This window comes from Homo sapiens, chromosome 5, assembly GCF_000001405.40.
Source record: "Homo sapiens chromosome 5, GRCh38.p14 Primary Assembly".
NCBI classification, from domain to species: domain Eukaryota; kingdom Metazoa; phylum Chordata; class Mammalia; order Primates; family Hominidae; genus Homo; species Homo sapiens.
In genome coordinates this window covers 70,563,618-70,586,153 of record NC_000005.10, presented here as the reverse complement: position 1 = coordinate 70,586,153, position 22,536 = coordinate 70,563,618, and the positions used below count along the sequence as shown (strand labels likewise).

Sequence of the window (22,536 nt, the reverse complement as noted above, 5' to 3'; positions counted from 1 at the left end):
ACTTCCGGGTGGGCGCGGGCTCGGCGCGCCCCGCACTCTTGAGCGGTCGGCTGGCGCCGCCGGCCCTGGGCAGTGAGAGGCTTAGCACCCGGGCCAGCAGCTGCGGAGGGTGCACTGGGTCCTCCAACAGTGATGGCCCGCCGGCGCCGCGCTCGAATTTTCGCTGGGCCTCAGCCACCTCCCCGCGGGGCAAGGGGGCAGGGCTCGGGACCTGCAGCCTGCCATGCTGGAGCCCTCACCCTCCTCCCCGCCCCCGTCCCCTGCCCCCCGCCCCCCGCCCCCCAACCGCAGGCTCCCGCGCGCCACCCCGAGGGGACGGGCGCCACCTCCTGCTACGCGGCACCCGGTCCCGTCAACCGCCCAACGGCTGAGGAGTGCGGCAGCGCGCCAGAGACTGGCGGGCAGCTCCGCCCGCGGCCGGGATGCACTAGGCAAAGCCAGCTGGGCTCCTGAGTCCGGTGGGTACTTGGAGAACTTACTACGTCTAGCTGGAGGATTGTAAATGCACCAATCAGCATGCTGTGTCTAGCTCAAGGTATGTGAACGCACTAATCAGTGCTCTGTGTCTAGCTAATCTGGTGGGGACTTGGAGAACTTTTGTGTCTAGCTAAAGGATTGTAAACAGACCAAGCAGCTCTCTGTAAAATGAACCCATCAGCTCTCTATGAAATGGACCGATCATCAGGATGTGGGTGGGGTGAGATAAGGGAATAAAAGCAGCTGCCAGAGCCAGCAACAGCAACGTGCTAGGGTCCCTTTCCACAGTGTGGAGGCTTTGTTCTTTTGCTCTTTGCAGTCTTGCTGCTGCTCACTGTTTGGCTCTGCGCAGAGCTGTAACACTCACCAAGAAGGTCTGCAGCTTCACCCAAAGATATTCCAAAGATACAGAAAACTATATAGAGACATTTTGTATAGTTCTAATAGCATATAATCCACAGGTCCCTGATCTATAATATGGGTTTTTTATAAAATTGTTTTTTTGTATGCTATGAGGAATTTTACTTGTTAAAAAGAAGAGGTGGAAAGGCAGAATATGAAAACTATGAAAATGACATAAGAGACTATGAATTAGGTGAGAAACCAGAGAGGTTTAGAAACCTGTAGACATTGTGCATCCCCCAATGCCTTTCCCCTTAAAAAAATATTATATTCTAGTCCAGTCCATCAAATAAAGTCTACATTCATTAGAAACATATTCTCTTGGTTTTTATAATTTCAGTTTTTTCCAGACACAGTGCATATGCAGATTTGTTACTTTTGTACAGTGCACCCTGGTAGTGAGCATAGTACCCAGTAGGTAGTTATTCAGCCCATGCTCCCCTCTCTCCCCCACCCCCATAGCCTGCAGCATGTCTTGTTCCCATGTTAATGTTCCTGTGTGCTCAGTGTTTAGGTTCCACTTATAAGTGAGAATGTGTGGTATCTGGTTTTCTTTTCCAGCACTAATTTGCTTAGGATTATGTCCTTAGCTCCATCCATGTTGCTGCAAAGGACATAATTTCATTCTTTTTTATGGAGGCATAGTATTCCATAGTGTATATGTACCACATTTTCTTTATCCAATCCACCTTTGATGGGCACCTAGGTTCATTCCATGTCTGTGCTATTGTGAATAACATGCTGATGAACGTACGAGTGCATATATATTTTTCTGGTAGAATAATTTATTTTCCTTTGAATATATACCCAGTAATGGGAATGCTGGGTCGAAGGGTATCTCTGTTTTAAGTTCTTAGAGAAATCTCCAAAATACTTTCCACAGTACCTGAACCAGTTTACATTTCCATCAACAGTAGTGTATAAGCATTCCCTTTACTCTGCAGCCTGGCCAACATCTAATTTTTTTACTTTTTAATTATAGCTGTTGTGACTGATGTGAGATGGCATCTTACTGTGGTTTTTGCTTGCATTTATTTATTTGATGATTAGTAAGGATGAGTGTTTTTTCATATACTTGAGTGTCTTCTTTTGAGAAAATATCTGTTCATGTCCTTTGCCTTTTCTTGATTTAAATTTTAAGTTCTGGGGTACATGTGCAGGAAGCGCAGTTTTGTTACATAGATAAACGTGTGTGGTGGTGGTTTGCTGCACCTATCAACCCATCACCTAGGTATTAAGCCCAGCATGCATTAGCTATTTTTCCTGATGCTCTCCCTCTCCTCAACCCCCTACAGAAAATTATAGTGTGTGTTGTGTGTTGTTCCCCATTGTGTGTTGTTCCCCTCCCTGTGTCCATGTGTTCCCATTGTTCAGCTCCCACTTATAAGTGAGAAGATGCGGAGTTTGATTTTCTGCTCCTGTATTAGCTTTGCCCTTTTTAACTGGGGTTGTTTTATGCTTGTCATTTTTTCTTCCTTATGGATTTGTTATATTAGATCTTTATCAGATGCATAGTTTGCAAATATTTTCTCCCATTCTGTAAGTTGTCTGTTTACTCTGTGGATAGTTTCTATTGCTGTGCAGAAGCTTTTTAGTTTGATTGACTTTCACTTGTCAATTTCGTTTTTGTTGCAATTGTTTTTAGAAACTTAGCCAAAAATTATTTGCCAAGGCCAATGTCGAGAAAAATATTTCCTAGGTTTTGTTTTAGAGTTTTCATAATCTGAAGTCTTACATTTTAACCTTTAATCCATCTTGAATTAATTTGTGTGTATGGTGGAAGGTAAGCATCCAGTTTCACTCTTCTGCTTATGGCTAGCGAATTATCCCAGCACCATTTATTGAATAGGGTGCCTTTTCCCCATTGTTTGTTTTTGTTGGCCTTGTCCACGATCCAGATGGTGGTAAGTGTGCAGCTTTATTTTTGAGTGTTCTATTCTGTTCCATTGGCTTAAGTGTCTGCTTTTGTAACAGTATCATGGTTAGTGTACACTTATAGTATAGCTGGAAATTGGGTAGTATGACGCCTCTCTGGCTTTATTATTTTTGCTCAGAATTGCTTTGGCCATTCTGGCTTTTGGGGGTGTTCCATATAAATTTAGAATAGTTTTTTCTAATTCTGTGAAGAATGATGTTGGTAGTTTCATGGAGATAGCCTTGAATCTACAAGTTGCTTTGGGCAGTGTGGCCATTTTAACAATATTGATTCTTTTAATCTGTAAACATGGAATGTTATTCCATTTATTTGTGTTATCAAAATCTCCTTCCTTCCTTCCTTCCTTCCTTCCTTCCTTCCTTCCTTCCTTCCTTCCCTCCCTCCCTCCCTCCCTCCCTCCCTTCCTCCCTCCCTTCCATCCTTCCTTCCTTTTCTTATTTCCTTCCTTTTTTGAGACAGAGTCTCACCCTTTCACCCAGGCTGGAATGCAGTGGAGTCATTATAGCTCACTGCAGGCTTGAACTCCTGGCCTCAAGCCGTCAGGGTAGTTAGGACTACAGGCATGTGCCACCATGCCTCGCTATTTAAAAAAAAAAAAAAAATTTGTATAGATGAGGTTCCACTATGTTGCCTAGGTTGGTCTCAAACTCCTGGGTCCAAGCGATATACCTGCCTCGGCCTCCCAAAGGCATGAACCACTGCATCCAGCTTCAGATTTCAGCTGTGTTTTGTAATTCTCCTTGTGGAGATCGTTCACATCTTAGGTTAGTTGTATTTGCAGGGATTTTATTTTCATCCTAGGTGTTGTAAATATGATTGTGTTCTTAATTTAACTCTCAACCTGGATGTTGTTGTTGTATAGAAATGCTACTAATTGTTGTACATTGATTTTGTATCCTGAAACCTTGCTAAAATCCTTTATCATTTCTAGTAGACTTCTGTTGAAGTCTTTAAGGTTTTTTAGGTATAGAATGATATTGTTGGGTGAAGACAGATAGTTTGCCTTAATCTTCACTTCCTATTTGGGTGCTTTTCTCTTTTTCTGTTGCAAGATTGCTCTGACTAGGATTTCTGGTACTATGTTGAATAGGAGTGGTAAGAGTGGATGTCCTTGGCTTGTTTCATTTCTAAAGGAGAATGCTTTCAGCTTTTGCCCATTGAGTATTATATTGGCTGTGGGTTTGTTGTAGATAGCTCTTTTTTATTTTGAAGTATGCTTATTTGAAGCCTCAACTGTTGAGGGTTTTTTTTTGTTTTGTTTTTTCATGAAGGGACACTGGATTTAATTGAAAGCTTTTCCGGCATCCATTGAGATGATCATATGGTTTTTGATTTAATTCTGTTTATCTGGTGAATCACATTTATTGATTTGCATATGTTGAACCAGCCATGCATCCCAGGAATAAAGCCTGTATTGTCATAGTAGATTAATTTTTTGATATGCTGCTGATGGATTCAGTTTGCTAGTACTTTGTTGAGAATTTTTGAGTCTATGTTCGTCAACAGTGGTCACCTGAATGTTCTTTTTTTTTGCGTCTCTGCCAGGTTTTGGTATTAAGCTGCTTCTGGCTTCACAGCGTGAGTTAGGAAGGAGTACGTTCTCTTCAACTTTTCTGGAATAGTTTCAGTAGAATTGTACTAGTTCTTCGTTATACTTCCGGTAGAATTTTGCTGTGAATCCATATAGTCCAGGGCTTTTTGGCTTGGTAGATTTTTTATTACTTATTCAATTTCAGAGCTTCATATTGGTCTCTTCAGTATTTCAGTATCTTCCTGATTCAATCTTGGAAGATTGCCTGTTTTCAGAAATTTATCCATTTCCTCTAGATTTTCTAATTTTTGTGTCTAGAGTTATTCCTAGTATTCTCTGAGGATTATTTTGTATGTCTGTGGGACCATTTTTAATGTCGTTTTTGTCATTCTGATTTATATATTTAGATCTTCTCTTTTTTTTCTTTGTTTATCTAGCTAAAGGTCTATCAATCTCTTTTTTTAAATCAACTCTTGGTTTCATTAATCTTTTGTATGGATTTTTGCATCTCAATTTCATTCAGATCTTCTCTATTTTAGTTGTTTCTTTTCATTCCTAGCGTTGATGTAGGGTTGTTCTTTTTTTTTTCTTCCCTAGTTCCTTTAGGTGTAGTGTTAGATTGTTAATTTGAAGTATTTCTAACTTTATGATAAAGGCATTTAAACGTTCCTCTTAACACTGATTTAGCTGCATCCCAGAGATTTTGGTAATTTGTGTTCCCATTTTCATTAATTTCACTTTCTTAAAATTTCTCCCTTAATTTTGATTTTCACACAGAAGTTATTCAGGAGAAAGTTGTTTAATTTTCATCTATTTGTGTAGTGTTGAGAGATGTTGATATTTATTTATATTTTGATTACATTGAGATCTAAGAGTGTGCTTGATATGATTTCATTTTTTAAAATTTATCCAGACTTGCTTTATGACCAAGCATGTGGTCAATGTTAGAATATGTTCCCTGTGCAGATGAGAAGAATGTATATTCTGTGGTTATTGAGTGGAGTGTTCTGTAGATGTCTTATTAGGTCCAAATGGTCAAGTGTGAAGTTTAAGTACACAGTTTCTTTCTTGGTTATCTGCTTTGATGATCCAGTGCTGCCAGCGGGGGTGTTGAAGTCTCCTACAGTTATTGGGTGGTCGTCTGTCTTTTTGTAGTCCAAAAAGAACTTGTTTTATGAATCTGGGTGCTCCATGTTGGGTGCATTTATATTTAGGGTACTTAAGTATTCTTGTTTGATCATATACTTTCTCATGACGTAATGCTCTTCATTCTTCAATTGTTCTTTTTAATTTTGATTAAAGTCTGTTTTATCTGATATAAGAATAGTTACTCCTGCTTTTTTGTTATCATTTGCATGGCAGATTTTCTCCATCCCCTTATTTTGGGCCAGTGGCTGTCATTACATATGAGATGAGTCTCTTGAAGACTACAGATGGTGAGCCTTGCATTTTTATCCAGTTTGCCATTGTATGTCATTTAAGTGGGGGTGTTTAGCCTATTTACATTTATGGTTAATGTTGATACATGAGATTTTGATCCTATCATCACGTTTGTAGCTGGTTTTTAGGTAGACTTGATTGTGTAGATACTTTATAGTGCCTGTGAGCTATGTACTTCAGTGGGTTTTTGTGGTAGCAGGTGTCATTCTTTTTACTCAATGTATAGCACTCCCTTAAGGACCTTTCATAAGGCTGGTCAAGTTGAAATTGATTCCCTCAGTATTTGCTTATCTGAGGAGAAATTTGTTTCTTCTTCACTTAGGAAGTTTAGTTTAGTGAAATATAAAATTATTGCCTGGAATTTATTTTCATTAATGATGTTGGACATAGGCCCTTAATCTCTTCTGGCTTGTAAGGTTTTTGCTGAGATATTTACTACTAGCCTAGTGGAGTTCTTGCTTTATGAAAACATGACCTTTCTCTCTAGCTGCCTTTAAGATTTTTTTTTTCTTTTGTATTTACTTTGGTGAATATGATGACTGTGTGCCTTAGGGATAGTCACCTTTTGTAGTGCCTAGCTGGGTTTGCTGTATTTTTTGGATTTACATGTCACTCTCTCTAGCGAGGTTAGGAAGATTTTCATAGACTCTATTCTCAAATCTATTTTCCAAGTTGCCTTTTCTCTTTGTTTCTCTTCTAGGAATGACAATGAGTCGTAGATTTGGTCTCTTTATATAATTCCATATTTCTTAAAGCTTTGGTTCATTTTCTTTTTTTAATTCTTTTTTAAAATTTTCTTTTGACTCAGTTGATTCAACGAACCAGTCTTTGAGCTCTGAGATTCTTTCCTTAGCTTGGCCTACCTTCTGTTAATATTTCTTATTGTATTATAAAATTCTTATACTGAATTTTTTCTGCTCTAGAAATTCAGTGTGGCTGTTCTTTAAAATGGCAATTTCATCTTTCAGCACTTACTTAGATTGCTTTACTGGATTACTTGGCTAGGGTTTCAACTTTCTCCTTAATGTTCATGAGCTTCCCTGCCATCGAGGTTCTGTATTCTATGTCTGTTGCAATTATTTTAGACTGATTAAGAACCATTGCTTGGTAGCTAGTGGGCTAATTTTGAGGTAAGAGGACACTCTAGCTTTTTGAATTGCCAGAGTTCTTGCACTGATTTTTTCTCTTCTGGTAGGGTTAGTGTTCCTTTAACTGTAGTGTATGTTGAGTATAGGCAATTGGTTTTGTTTCTGGATGCTTTCAAAGGGTCAGGGCTTTCTCTGTCCAGGATTTTTATGTATGAGTAATTCTGGTGTTTGGTTTCACAGGTGTATATGTAGCAGGATAAATTTTGATGTTGTAGTTTGGGATGTGATCCAATGCATAGTGCTTAAGAGTGATGGCCAGTGGCTAGCCTAATACCCAGTGGCATGGCTGTTTTATACTTCCTTTTGTTTGCAGGTGTGCTCTATAGTGGGGGTGGGAGAGATGCCTCCATCACCAGATGTGCTCCTGGGCCCTGGGGGAGTCTCCTGCAATCACTGTGTTTCTTGTGTTAGGTGTTCTAGGCCACAGGTCTCTCTCAGGCAGAGGCCCTTTCCTAGGAGCCATTCTGGGGAACTAGCTGTAGTGTTTGGGTTCCCTGCACAGGCTTCCTCCCTCTTCAGCTCAGCTTCATTGCTGCCTCTGCATCCACTCAGCATTTTCTCTCTCAAGATCTGCCTAAATTACGGTGGTTTACTCCATAATTTGGTATCTCTCAGTGGGGGTGGTGCTTCCTGACCATGTCAAATTGACCATGTATTGTCACAGAATGAAAACCTCTTTGATAGACTTTGTAACATTTTTGAATATTACATTCAGGAGTAAAATCTTACGCAGTGTGATCCCAGCTATCTCTTCACTTTTGAGAATAACCTTAAGTAATTAAAGGATAATTAAATATGTAATTAAAAATTGAAAAATATAACAGCTACACTTCCAGATGTCAACTTCTTTCAGAAAATTTTAAAATCTCTTTAAAGAAAGGTAAATTGAGACCAAAATAGATTAATAGCTTTATAAAAATAAGTGCTCAAGGAGGGTGTTACATGTGAAAATTAAACTTGGAATTTGTCATTTTACCCGTAAAATTACTGAGAGTAATTTCCTTGAAATGGAAATAACTTTACAAATTTTTAATTAACAAAAATGCTGAAATATTACTCCGCTTACCTTTATGTAACCTCTTCCTTGAAAACAACAATTTACTCATCTGGTGTGTGACTCTGATAACCTTCAATCATTCTCTATATCTGACACCATGACTAGTAACTTAGATCTTTAACTAAGCAACCTTTCTTTCCACCTTTGTGATATTATATCTAGTAATTTAATAACAGACAATCTATGTTGCAAATTAAACTTCCAAATTGAATAGTAATTTTCAAATCCCAAGGACCCATTTCTTCTGCCTCAATCTTAATTAGGTCTTAGTTAATAGAAAAATTAACTGGCTGGGTGCGGTGGCTCATGCCTGTAATCCCAGCACTTTGGGAGGCCAAGGTGGGTGGATCACCTGAGGTCTGAAGTTCGAGACCATCCTGGCCAACATGGTGAAACCCCATGTGTACTAAGAACACAAAAAATTGGCCGGGTATGGTGGTGGGTGGGTGCCTGTAATCCCAGCTACTCAGGAGGCTAAGGCAGGAGAATCACTTGAACTGGCGGGGTGGAGGATGCAGTGAACCGAGATCCCAGCACTGCGCTGCAGCCTGGGCAGCAACAGTGAAACTCCTCAGAAAAAAAAAAAAAAAAAAAGAAAAAGAAAAAGAAAAAAGAAAATTAACTAAATCAAGCCTAAATAAAACATATTCACAAAGTGGCAGACTTTTTTAATCCAAAAATTTAACTGTATTAATGTCTCATTTATAGAACATTATTTTACAATGAGGTTTTACACATCAATCAGTTGAGTCACTTCTTTTTTTTTTTGAGATGGAGTCTCGCTCTGTTGCCCAGGCTGGAGTGCAGTGGTGTGACCTCAGCTCACTGCAACCTCCACCTCCTGGGTTCAAGCGATTCTCCTGCCTCAGCATCCTGAGTACAGGCACTACAGGCACGTGAGCAAGAGAAGCTGACAGATTCAAATGTTCACAAACATTTATGTTCTATTTTGATAGATACATAAACTATGTTTCTCATTCTTATATACTTTATATTAGGGCATGGGATTAAAGTCAAAATAGTGGAAAATTAGTAGAAATAACATATTTTATATCCAATTTAGTCTCCAAAATCCCAACATGCACTCTTCTGTATACGTTTTTCAGTATGCTTGACTGGAACGGCCAATTCTACAGTAGTCTTGGAAGCAACATACTGCAGATTAAATACCTTAGTAGCCTATGTTCTTGAATGCGGACATAAAGGAGCAATGCTTTTCCTATCTTAAAAAAACAGTTTATATGAATGAAACTTCTGTTCTGTTTAAGATATTATATGTTGTTGAGTGTAGTTGTCAAAGCAACTAGCACGATTCCAAGTAATATAGAAATCACCAGCTTGAGTTGGGTCTGCCATAACAGCACCTAAAACGTATCCACTAAATTAGTATTAAATGGACAAGTAAACCAAACTCAGAGGGTTGAAATGAAGACTTGTAATACCCAGTGAAAAAAAATTATTGAAACTACCATCTAAAATTAATTGGAAGCTTAATATTACCTCTAGGAAAGAGTGTGGGAAATGAGGAAAGGCAAAAGGTAATGTGTTCATGTTTGTTCTGTTCCATAATCCAAGAAATAGATAAACACAGGCAAAAAAAAAAAAAAAAAAAAAAGAAAAAAGAAATATCCTGTCTTTAGAGTGGAAAGAAAGTGGATAGAGTTGAGTTGCTAAACCTTAGCATTATTGACATTTTATGCCTGATATTCCTGCATTCTGTGGGAGGTTATTCTTTGCATTGTAGGATATTAATAGTATCTTTAGGCTATACCACCACATACCAGTAGCATCACCACCTAATCATTATAATTCAAAATGTCTCCAGACACTGACAAGTGTTCTATGGAAACAAAGTCATTCCTTGTTGGAAACCACTTGTAAACAAAAAGTCTAGTAATGGTGGAATTATACAGTGACAGAAAAGCTCAGGTTTTTCTGATTAGGTTGAAAAAGCTGCTCAGAAATTAAATCCTACTGTGTTCATAAAAAACAAGGAACCCAGCCCTGAAGCAAAGAACTCATCAGGGAAGTTGTTTTCTCTTTCAAGTCTATGATTTCAAATGACCTTAAAGTGGTCATCTTTACAGTCAGAGAAGCATATGTGTGTTGGGGAGGAGAAAAAAGAAGGAAATGAGGCAGACTTTAGAATTATACCTAGGAAAGAACTGTATGTTTGGTTATAAACTAGATCCAATAAATAAATAAATGGTTTCCACGTAACTACTTGGCAAAGGTACAATAAGCCTATTGTGAGAAAAAAAAATTAAGGCTTAAAATATCCTCAAGCATCCCAAATTGCACTAATCAGTGCAATTGATTAGTCATGCTGAGAAAACACTCATTGTTCTAATTTAAGATGGAGGCATGGAGAATAAGAGAAAATGTAAATTACCTCAGAAAGTAAATCTATGAGCCACAGGGACAATGGACCTTAAAGTTATTTCCACAGGACATGTTTATGGTTTCATCAAATAAATATTTGTACTGCTCAGAAATATTTTTGTCAGTGCTCTGCAGACTTCTTTGTCTTCTGATAGGAGCTTCACCATGGTAACTTAGATTTTACAGATAATTTGTCTTTTGACTTTATAGGACACTAGTCCTCGTTAAGTCATATAGTGGCCTGAGGGAGAGAACTGCACGTCATGAAACATCCTGAACTCTAAGTTGTAGGCAGTAACTGGGCAAAACTTTAAGTTGTTTACAGAGGGAAGAGAAGTGAATTTTTCATATATAAAGAAGTGTGCAAATTGTATTTCATGAGTAGTCTTTTGTCTTCTGGAATGGTGATATATACAAAGTAATCTGGGAAGATACAATTTGGTAATAGTAGATCCTTCGTTAACTTGAATTATTTTTTGCAGGAAAGATGCGTCTTTAGCCAAAATTACTTATGGTAAACTGTTATGTAAGCAAGAAATCACCTTCTACTTGGTTTAAGCTATTCAGTGTACTCTCTAGATAGATATGACACAAAGCTAGCATTATGATACAGTAAACCAAGTGTTAATGTAACTTTATGTTGATTTTGACTACATTCTGAAAATAATAAAAGTCATCTGGTATTTTAGGCTTACGATATGAACTTGATACTATGATAGGTGTCTGAAATGTTTATCTCATTTGATTCTTAGAACAAACTTATATTGTGGGTACTAATACAGTACTGATTTTTTAAATAAGAAAAAGGATTGCAAAAAATGTAAAAAGTCTTATTAAAGAGTACAAAATTCTATCTCCAAATGTGTAATGAATTTTATATAGTCAGTTAATATTTGTTTAGCTCAATAAAGTAATGTTCGGTGTAATAGTTGATTTCTTTAATGTTCATTCAGAATCACATTATCAATTTGAAATTAATTCACCTATTCGAAGAAGTTGCTTCCTCCAATTAAGACAGTATAGTAAGCAAAATAATGGTTTACAAAACAAACAAACCAACAAAAAAAAAACGCATGTCCTGATTTCTGGAAGCTGTGAATATGTTAACTATCTGGTAAAAGGGGCTTTGCAAGTATTATAATGTTAAGGATGGTAAGATGAAAAAGTGTCCTTTTGAGTTCAGTGTAATCAAATGGGTTTAAACTAGGGAAACATTCTTGGCTAGAAACATAAGGTGGTATGATTTCAAAAGAATGGTCAGAGAGACACAGCATTTCTGGTTTGAACAAATGAAAGACCATAAGCTAACAAATCAGGACAGCCTCTGGAGGCTGGAAAAGTCAAGGAAACTGATTTTCCCCTAAAACCTTCAGAAAGGAACACAACAGTTCTCACTCTTTGATTTTAGCCTCATAAGATGCATTGCAGACATCTGAGAAACACAATTGTTTGACACTATATTTGTGCTATTTTAAACCACTAACTTTGTAGTAATTGGCTACAGCAGCAGTAAGAAAATAATGCAGAGTGTTTCTATAATGGAGATAAAAGTATAAACAAGAGGCAAGGATTTCCTTCCTTCACAGTGTTTATAATATACTAAGAAAACAAACATTAAATACACAGGGCCCCAATAGATTATTCCACTTTAATTTTAGCTGGCACTGTGGAAGGAAAATAGAAATTCTAGAATATAGTGAATAGGAATATAACTTATTCTTATGTGGGAAGAAATGCTTATTACTGAATACTATTTGGGCTGAAAATAAATGCACTGTAGTTACAGTAAGTACAGTAAAAAAGGTAGTTTGCTATAAGGGAACAGAGCCATTGAAATGTAATGAAAGTCATCAAAGTTTTAGGCACTAACTATAAGTTGCAAGGAGTTAAACAATTGTAAGCAGTCCGATTATTAAAAAAATATGTGCCTGATTCTCAAAATCACAAGTATTCTTTAAGATTGCTAACCGTAGTAGTCAGTTTTCACAATGATATAAAGAATGACTTGAGACTGAGTAATTTATGAAGAAAAGAGATTTAATTGATTCATAGTTCTTCAGGCTTTACAGGAAGCATGAATGGGAGGACTCAGGAAACTCAGAAAATCATGGTGGAAGGCAAAGGGGAAACAAGGTTCTTCTTGACATGGCACCAGGAGAGAGAGAGCACAAGGAGGGAAGTGCCACACACTTTTAAACCATCAGATCTCTTGGAACTCACTCACTATCATGAGAATAGCATGTGGAAATCTGCTCCCATGATCCAGTCACCTCCACCCAGGCCCCTCTCTTGACATGAGAGGATTACAATTTGAGATGAGATTTGGGTGGGGACAGAGGGCCAAGCCATATTATTTCTCCTCTGGCCCCTCCCAAGTATCATGTCCTTCTCACATTTCAAAACCAATCATGCCTTCCCAACAGACTGGAAGTCTTAACTTATTCCAGCATTAACTCAAAAGTCCATGTCCAAAGTTTCATCTGAGACAAGGCAAATCGCTTCTGCCTATAAGCCTGTAAAATCAAAAACAAGTTAGTTAATTTCAAGACAACAGTGGGGGTACAGGGATCAGATAAACACTCCAATTCCATAAGGGAGAAATTAGCCAAAACAAAGGGTCTGCAGGCCCCATGCAAGTCCAAAACCCGACAAGGCAGTCATTAAATCTTAAGGCTCTGAAACAATCTTCTTTGACCTCATCTCTCACGTCCAGAGCATACTGATGCAATATCTGGGCTCCCATGAGCTTTGACAGCTCTGCCTCTGTGGCTCTGCAAGGCACAGCCCCCACAGCTGCTTTCACAGGCTAGGATTGAGTGCCTGTGACTTTTCCAGGCACACTGTGCAAGCTGTCAGTGGATCTACCATTCTGGGGTCTGAAGCACTATGACCCTCTTCTCAAAGCTCCAGTAGGGAGTGCCCCAGTGGGGAATCTGTGTGGGGGCTCCAACCCCACATTTTCCCTCTGCACTGCCCTAGTAGAGGTTCTCCATAAGGGCTCCACTTCTGCAGCAGACTTTTGCCTAGACATCCAGGCATTTCCATACATCCTCTGAAATCTAGATGGAGGTTCCCAAACCTCACCTCTTCCCTTCTGCACAACCACAGGCCCAGCCTCATGTGGAAGCCACCAAAGCTTGAGGCTTGTATTCTCTGAAGCAATGGCCTGAGTAGTGCCTTGGACCCTTTTAGCCACAGTTGGAGCTGAGCAGCTGGAACACTGGGCACCATGTCCCGAGGCTGCCCAGAGCAGCAGGGCCCTGGGCCCATCCCACTAAACAATTTCTCCCTCCTAGGCCTCCAGGCTTATAATGGGAGGGGCTGCCTCAAAGGTCTCTGAAATGTACTGGAGACGTATTCCACATTGTCTTTGCCATTAACATTTGGCTCCTCTTTACTTATGCAAATTTTTGCTTGAATTTCTCCCAAGAGCGTGGGTTTTTCTTTTTTACTATATGGTTAGGCTGCAAATTTTCCAAACTTTTATGGTCTGCTTTCCTTTTAAATATACGTTTCAGTTTCAAGCCATCTCTTTCTTCATGGACATGAGCATAAACTTTTAGAAGCAGCCAGGCCACATGTTGGAAGGTCTGTTGCTTAGAAATTTGTTTCACCAGATACCCTAAATCATCTCTCTGAAGTTCAACATTACACAGATCTCTAGGGCCGGGTCAAAAGGCTGTCAGTCTCTTTGCTAAAGCATAGCAAGAGTAACTTTTTCTTCAGTTCTCAATGAGTTCCTCATCTCCATCTGAGACCCCCTCAGCCTGGACTTCATTATCCAAATCATTATCAGCATTTTGTTCACAACCATTCAACAGGTCTCTAGGAAGATTTAAACTTTCCCATATCTCCCTGTCTTCTTCTGAGTCCTCCAAACTGTTTCCTACCTCTGCCTGTTACCCAGTTCCAAAGTTACTTCCATATTTTCAGGTATTTTTATAGCAATGCCCCACTTCTCTGGTACCAATTTTCTGTATCTATCTCTTCTCAAACTGCTATAAAGAACTACTGGGTAATTTATGAGGAAAAGAGGTTTAATTGACTCACAGTTCTGCAAGCTTAACAGGAAGCACGACTGGGAGGCCTCAGGAAACTAACAATCATGGCAGAAGGTAAAGGGGGAGCAGGTGCCTTCTTCACATGGTGTCAGTAGAGAGAAGAGCCGGGGGGAAGTTCCACACACTTTTAAACCATCAGATCTTGTGAGAACTCACTGACTGTCACGAGAACAGTATGGGAAATCCACCCCCATGATCAAATCACCTCCTACCAGACCCCTCCCCTGACACGTGGGGATTACGATTCAACATGAGATTTGTGTGGGGACACAGAGCCAAAGTATATCACTCACCTAATAAGTGCTTATCTTGATTAAATTGTATGGAAAACTACAACTTAAATTATGTGATCAGAAATTCTATCTAATGATAGACATTAATTCAAATGCCACCATGTTCTCCTGTCAGCTTCTCATATATTGTCATGGATATGATTTAATTGTCCTTCAGTGTCATGGAACACATCCTGAGATTCAGCTGATGAAGTTGCAAACTGGATAAATATAAATGATGATGTTTCAAAAAAGAAAATCCTCACTTAGTAAAAAAATGTTAGGTTTATTTTACACTTTCTTGACAGCTGAACTAATATAAAAAGCACTCACCTTGTTTCTTTCAGTTTTGTGTATGTTTTGATTGTGTCAGCTGAGTTCTTCTTCACGGGATTTTCTATGTGTCAGAGACACTTGTCCCCCATTCTGTTTTCCTGTGTAATCTCAAAATTGACAAGGGTCTTCACTGTATGTGAAAAGGATGTCTGTGTTGCTTGATTTTATGTGTGACTACTGTTTGCGATTGTCCTTTTCCCAATATGACATGTAATTTTACAGCACAGATAGTTTTTCAAAAGAATTACATTCCCAGGCTTAGCAGAGGGAGCGGCCTACTTATTGAAATGTGAAATCGAATCTCTGAAACAGAAACACCAAATTATTATACTAATCTGTAAAGTAGCTATAAAACGTTATTTTTCAGAGTGAAGTATCTGTCAAGATGGCTAGTTTTGGTGTATAATAGAAACGGTATTTTATTCCTTTTATTTCTGTAAACAGATTAAGTCTGTGTGTGTGTGTGTGTGTGTGTGTGTGTGTGTGTGTGTGTGTGTGTGTGTGTACATGGGATATAATACAAATCTACCTCGACTTATAATGAGTTATATCCTGATAACCACAGGCCAAGATGTGTTATGATGGATCTGGATATACTCATAAGTTGAAAATATTTTAGGTAAAAAATGCATTTAGTACATTTAACAAAAATACTGGCAAACCGAGTCCAGCAGCACATCAAAAAGCTTATCCACCAAGATCAAGTTGGCTTCATCCATGGGATGCAAGACTGGTTCAACATACGCAAGTCAATAGATGTAATCCATCACATAAAGAGAACCAAAGACAAAAACCACAAGATTATCTCAATAGATGCGGAAAAGGTCTTTGACAAAATTCAATAGCCCTTCATGCTGAAAACTCTCAATGAACTAGGTATTGATGGAACATATCTCAAAATAATAAGAGCTATATATGACAAACCCGCAGCCAGTATCATACTGAATGGGCAAAAACTGGAAGCTTTCCCTTTGAAAACTAGCAGAAGACAGTGATGCCCTCTCTCACCACTCCTATTCAACATAGTGTTGGAAGTTCTGGCCAGGGCAGTCAGGCAAGAGAAAGAAATAAAGGGCATTCTATTAGGAAAAGAGGAAGTCAAATTGTCCCTGTTTGCAGGTGATATGATTGTATATTTAGAAAACCCCATCATCTCAGCCCAAAATCTCCTTAAGCTGATGAGCAACTTCAGCAAAGTCTCAGGTTACAAAATCAGTGTGCAAAAATCACATGCATTTGTATACACCAATAACAGACAATCAGAGAGCCAAATCATGAGTGAACTCCCATTCACAGTTGCTACAAAGAGAATAAAATACCTAGGAATCCAACTTACAAGGGATGTGAAGGACCTCTTTAAGGAAAACTACAAACCACTGCTCAACGAAATACAAGAGGACACAAACAAATGGAAGAACATTCCATGCTCATGGGTAGGAAGAATCAATATCGTGAAAATGGCCATACTGCCCAAGGTAATTTATAGATTCAATGCCATCCCCATCAAGCTACCAATGACTTTCTTCACAGAATTGGAAAAAACTAAAGTTCATATGGAATCAAAAAAAAGCCCATATTGCCAAGACAATCCTAAGCAAAAAGAACAAAGCTGGAGGCATCACGCTACCTGACTTCAAACTATACTACAAGGCTACAGTAACAAAAACAGCATTTTACTGGTACCAAAACAGAGATATAGACCAATGGAATGGAACAGAGGCCTCAGAAATAACGCTAAACATTTACAACCATCTGATGTTTGACAAACCTGACAAAAACAAGAAATGGGAAAAGGATTCCCTATTTAATAAATGGTACTGGCTAGCCATATGTAGAAAGCTGAAACTGGATCCCTTCCTTCACCTTATAGAAAAATTAATTCAAGATGGATTAAAGACTTAAATGTTAGACCTAAAACCATAAAAACCCTAGAAGAAAACCTAGGCAATACCATTCAGGACATAGGCATGGGCAAGGACTTCATGTGTAAAACACCAAAAGCAATGGCAACAAAAGCCAAAATAGACAAATGGGGTCTAATTAAACTAAAGAGCTTCTGCGCAGCAAAAGAAACTACCATCAGAGCGAACAGGCAACCTACAGAATGGGAGAAAATTTTTCCAATCTACCCATTTGACAAATAGCTAATATCCAGAATCTACAAAGAACTTAAACCAATTTACAAGAAAAAAACAAAGCCATCAAAAAGTGGACAAAGGATATGAACAGACACTTTTCAAAAGAAGACATTTATGCAGCCAACAGACACATGAAAAAATGCTCATCATTACTGGTCATCAGAGAAATGCAAATCAAAACCACAATGAGATAGCATCTCACACCAGTTAGAATGGCGATCATTAAAAAGTCGGGAAACAACAGGTGCTGGAGAGGATGTGGAGAAATAGGAATGCTTTTACACTGTTTGTGGGAGTGTAAACTAGTTCAACCATTGTGGAAGTCAGTGTGGCAATTCCTCAAGTATCTAGAACTAGAAATACCATGTGACCCAGTGATCCCATTACTGGGTATATACCCAAAGCATTATAAATCATGCTGCTATAAAGACACATGCACATGTATGTTTATTGCTGCACTCTTCACAATAGCAAAGACTTGGAACCAACCGAAATGTCCATCAATGATAGACTGGATTAAGAAAATGTGGCATACATACACCATGGAATACTATGCTGGCATAAAAAATGATGAGTTCATGTCCTTTGTAGTGACGTGGATGAAGCTGGAAACCATCATTCTGAGCAAACCTTCGCAAGGACGGAGAACCAAACACCGTGTGTTCTCACTCATAGGTGGGAATTGAACAACGAGAACACTTGGACACAGAGTGGGTAACATCACATGCTGGGGCCTATTGTGGGGTGGGGGGATGGGTAGGGATAGCATTAGGAGAAATACCTAATGTAGATAATGAGTTAATGGGTGCAGCAAACCAACATGGCACATGTATACATATGTAACAAACCTGCAAGTTGTGCACATGTGCCCTAGAACTTAAAGTATTAAAAAAAAATACACTTAAGAAATGTGCTCAGAACACTTACATTAGCCAGTCCAAAAAAAAAATCTAACCTAAAGCCTATTTTTAAATAAAGTGTTGAATATCACATGTAAATTATTAAATACTGAATGTGAAAAACGGAATGGGTATATGGGTAATAAAAGCATTGTTTCTACTGAATGTTTATCACTTTTGTACCATGATGAAGCTGTAAAGTTGTACCATTGTAAATCTGGGACCATCTGTGTTACATTCAAGAGAAAAGCTCAGTCGAACTAATAAATAAATCAAAATTTCTTCTGATTATTTAGGTGTTTTTTCCTGTTAGATAATTAAGACATCCAACTGTTGCTTGCTGCTTCACCACACAGACCATACACAGATACAAATACACACTCCATGAATGAGCATATGTGCTTGTTTAAAGAGACATACTAACCAAACAGTTGTATGCTGCCGTGATATTGATTATGTCATCAAGTTCCTTATTTAACAAAACACAGCTGTGTATGAAGTATTTCTCTAAAATGTACATTCAATAGCAACTGGTTTTGTTCAGTCTTATGTACCCATATTATTTAAATGAGCACCTGGAGTCTAGAATTAACTAAAAAATATCTATGTTGATGCATATTAAGTTGATTTTGAAGTCATAAATTTTGACAAGAATTGATACTATGGCACTGTCATAACTTTACAAAAGATGACCTGAACTAACATGATTTTATGCTTTTACCAGTGGAACTCCCTGAAATATATTCAGATAATTTGTTATTAAAGCAAAACTAAGTTTATTGAAACCCTGTGCCAAGAAAGTACACCATTTTGACATACTTTTGCAGTGTTTCAGCAGGGAAGAGTGAGAGGAAGATTTTTCATGTTTGTGGAGAATGGCTTAAGAGAGTTAAATGAGTCTTTCAAAGTGAGTAGCTGATTGAAATTGAGCTAAACTCAGAGCATAATAGTTTAGATAGTCTAAGAAATTGAAAAAAAAGTTGATGCCAAGCATACAAGAAATAACACCACCAAAAAATAGACCTAAATACAGACAAAATTAGATTAAAAACAAGAATATGTTCAATGTTAATAAAAGCAAAAGGAACATAGACATAGTTATGGAGGAGTTTTGTTTTGTTTTAATAAGATAAAAATATGGTTAGTTTTATAGCAATACACCTGGAAATCTGGATCAATTCTGTCCACTATAGTCATTACTAGTGACATGTAGATATTGAACACTTGAAATATGGTGGATTTGAATTGATTTATGCTATATGTAAAATACAAACTAGATTTAGTTTAAAAAATGTAAAACTGAATAATTTTAATATTGTTTTATGCTGAGATGACAATATTTTGGATATACTGGATTAAATACATATAAAATATTGTTAAAAATCAAGTAGTATAGTAAAATTGGTCTTTTTGTTTTACTTTTTTATTTTGTTTTGGTTTTTGAAGGGATAGAAATCATGGCTAAGATGGACCCTGGGGCATATCATTGACCATCATGAAACATGCACTGATTTGCCAAATGTATTATTTTCCTGTGGCTGTTATAAAAATCACAATACACTTAGTAGTTTAAAACAACATAAATTTATGGTCTAGCAGTATTCCAGGTTAGAAGTTCAACACAGGTCTTACTGATTTAAAATCAAAGCATTGGAAGACTGCATTCCTTCTATAGGCTCTGTGGAATAATCCATGACCTGGCCTTTCCCAGGCTTTAGAATCCAGCTGCATTCTTTGATGCATGTTCCCTGTCTTGGGCAGCTTGGAATACTGTAAGAAAATACCATAGACCGGGTGACTTAAACAACTGACATTTATTTCTCAGAGTTCTGAAAGTTGGGAAGTCCAAGATTAAGGTGCTGGTATATTTGGTTCGTGGTGAGGGCCCACTCCCTCTCTGGTTAGTAGATGGCCTCCTTCTCTCTGTGTTCACATGGCCTTTCCTGGATACATGTTTACGGAGAGAGAAAGAGAAGGGTGGTTGGGTGGGAGGTGGTCTAGTATCTCCACCTTTTCTTATAAGAACACTAACATTATCATGAGAACACCACACTTAGGACATTATCTCAACCTAGGTTCCTCCCAAAAGCTCCATCTCCAGATACTATCACACTGCCAATTAATAGATCATTGAAAATAATCTATTAATATTTGAACAATGCCAATCATCTTCAATAGATTAATTTTAGGGAGACACAAATATTCAGTTCATAACAGTTCCTTTCCTTGACCTTCAAAGCTACAAATGAAGGAGCAAGTCTTCACATTCTCCTTTTATATCTCCCTCTTCTACGTGTAAAGAATCTTATGATTGCATTTGGCCATCTAAAAATCTATGATAGTCTCTCCATTTCAAAATCCTTAACTCTAATTGCATTTGCAAAGTCTGTCCTGCCAGGTAAGCTAACAAATTTATAAATTATCTGGATTAGGACCCCATCATCTCTGAAGAGCCATTATTCTGACTACCACATCAGTATGTTAGTTTATGTCAAGATTGCTGTAATAATCAATAGGTTCTGGTACCACAAATCCAGTAGCAGTCATTAAGGTTGATTGAGTTTATTGATTGCTTTCAGCTCCATTCTGCTATTAATCACTTTTGGGGATATAAAATGAAGACCTTATCACATAGAGGAAGAGGTAGATGTGATAGGAGCTTGAATATGTAATAAGAATTTTTTATGATATGTAAATGTGAGAAATGAATTAAGTATGTGCCATTTGTTCTCTTCTTTTTAAGACGTTTCTTTCTAAAGGTTTAGTGACAGAAGTTGCATTCTATTAAAGATCCCTAAGGGCTGTTCTGCTGTAGGCATAAGCTTTCTTTCCTGGGTGCAGCATGTTAGGATTTAAGATTTCTATTTATCTAATACTCTGCTGTTTGTCAGATAAAATAACAATAAATAGTGAGTCCAATTATTGATAAACCCAGATGTTTCATATTTAGGAATCGATGTTAAAAAAAAAAAAACTCTAATTGGCATCCTAAGGAAAATGTGTGCAGCTTAGCACTGATTCAACTGCATGTTTAGCCAAATTGTGAACAAATTACGGCCAGCTTCCGGACTCTTCTAGAGAGTGACTAAGGACGGCATAGAGGAATTAGGAATAGTAGCTTTATAGGTAAAATAATTAAATGTAACCTTAAGCATAAAAAGATAAAGTTAACTAGGAAAATGAAAACTCAAGATATACAGATTAAATATGACAAACAATGGATCTTTTTTTGTGGATCTTGGTTTGCAGATACCGATATCTCATATAGTGATTCACTTGATCCAAAGGCATTTGATGGAAGCTGTCTTCTCCCAAAGACTATTTGCTTTTGGAAGAATCCTAAGAGTCATTAGTTAGAAGTTTTTGGTAGGGATACTTTCCTGTAATATGAAGATGACCTAAACCTCTTTACTTGAGAGATAGGAATCAAAGGATCAGTCTTTTAAAGACTATGGGTTTGCTAGTTGTTAGCTGTGCCTGATAGTGACTTTTTTCCTATGATCTTTCCCTGCCGTGTCTCTTAGAAGACAAGGTATCCAGGTATGAAAACCAATTTTGCAGACATTGTTTAGGATACTAATGGGGAAAGTCTTCAGTAACTTTTGTTGAAAGAATGGATTTCCTGAGTCCTTACAGCATTTAGTTAAATAAGTGTAGATTTCTAGAATCAGAGCTAATATTCCTAGACACTTGGTTTAGCTGTTACTAACTCATGAACCACAGAAAGAAGAAATACCTTAGACCATGCAAGTTTGACGATCTCTGTGAACTTTACCAACTTTAGTTTCAGAATTCCATCTTTCTACCTTCCCAAAAGGTTGAAAGTGATATGGACAGTGAAGTCTGATTAATTGACAGAACTTTTCCATGTTAATAAAAATTCCGGTAAAATGGTTTCCTTGTTACTAGAGATATAGTTTGGGATTCCCCAGGCTGAAAAAAAAAAAAAGGATTTTCTCCATGCCAACAAGAGACAAATAATGATCAGAACATATTTAAAATCTATTGCCAGCACTTGTTATGAAAAATTCATTTAGATTTTTACTGAGACATTTTACAGTTTTGTTAGGATTAATCTGACGAAGGTTGAGACAAGTTGTAAGGATATAGTTATATAAAGATATACTTACCAATTTTAGCAAAATTTTCCCCCAGCTATTGGTTAAATACATTGGTCAATTTGTCCTCATTGTGCCAGAAAAGCTCAGCAGTTCTGACTAAAGTTTATGTTAACCCATTGCCAGTAGAATGAAAGAGTTGAATCCTCTCTTAAATTATAATATATAGTTGACTCCTCAACAACACAGGTTTGAACTGTGCAGGTCTGCTCATATGTAGATTTTTTCCTATAAATATATTAGAAAATTTTTGGAGATTTATGAAAAATTGAAAAAGATAACAGGTGACCCATCTACACAAGAAATATTAAAAAACTAAGAAAACGATGTCATGAATGC

The 22,536-nt window shown here is 37.7% G+C and overlaps 1 pseudogene across 1 annotated transcript in view; it reads left to right on the top strand.

The window, feature by feature from the left end:
- The first annotated feature begins 431 nt into the window (after positions 1-431).
- Positions 432-22,536, top strand: part of GUSBP15 (GUSB pseudogene 15) — a 104,680-nt pseudogene continuing 82,575 nt past the window's right edge. The window contains exons 1-2 of the transcript NR_034021.1: positions 432-535; positions 5,709-5,782. The product of NR_034021.1 is annotated as a GUSB pseudogene 15 (transcript). The remainder of the gene's footprint in view (positions 536-5,708; positions 5,783-22,536) is intronic.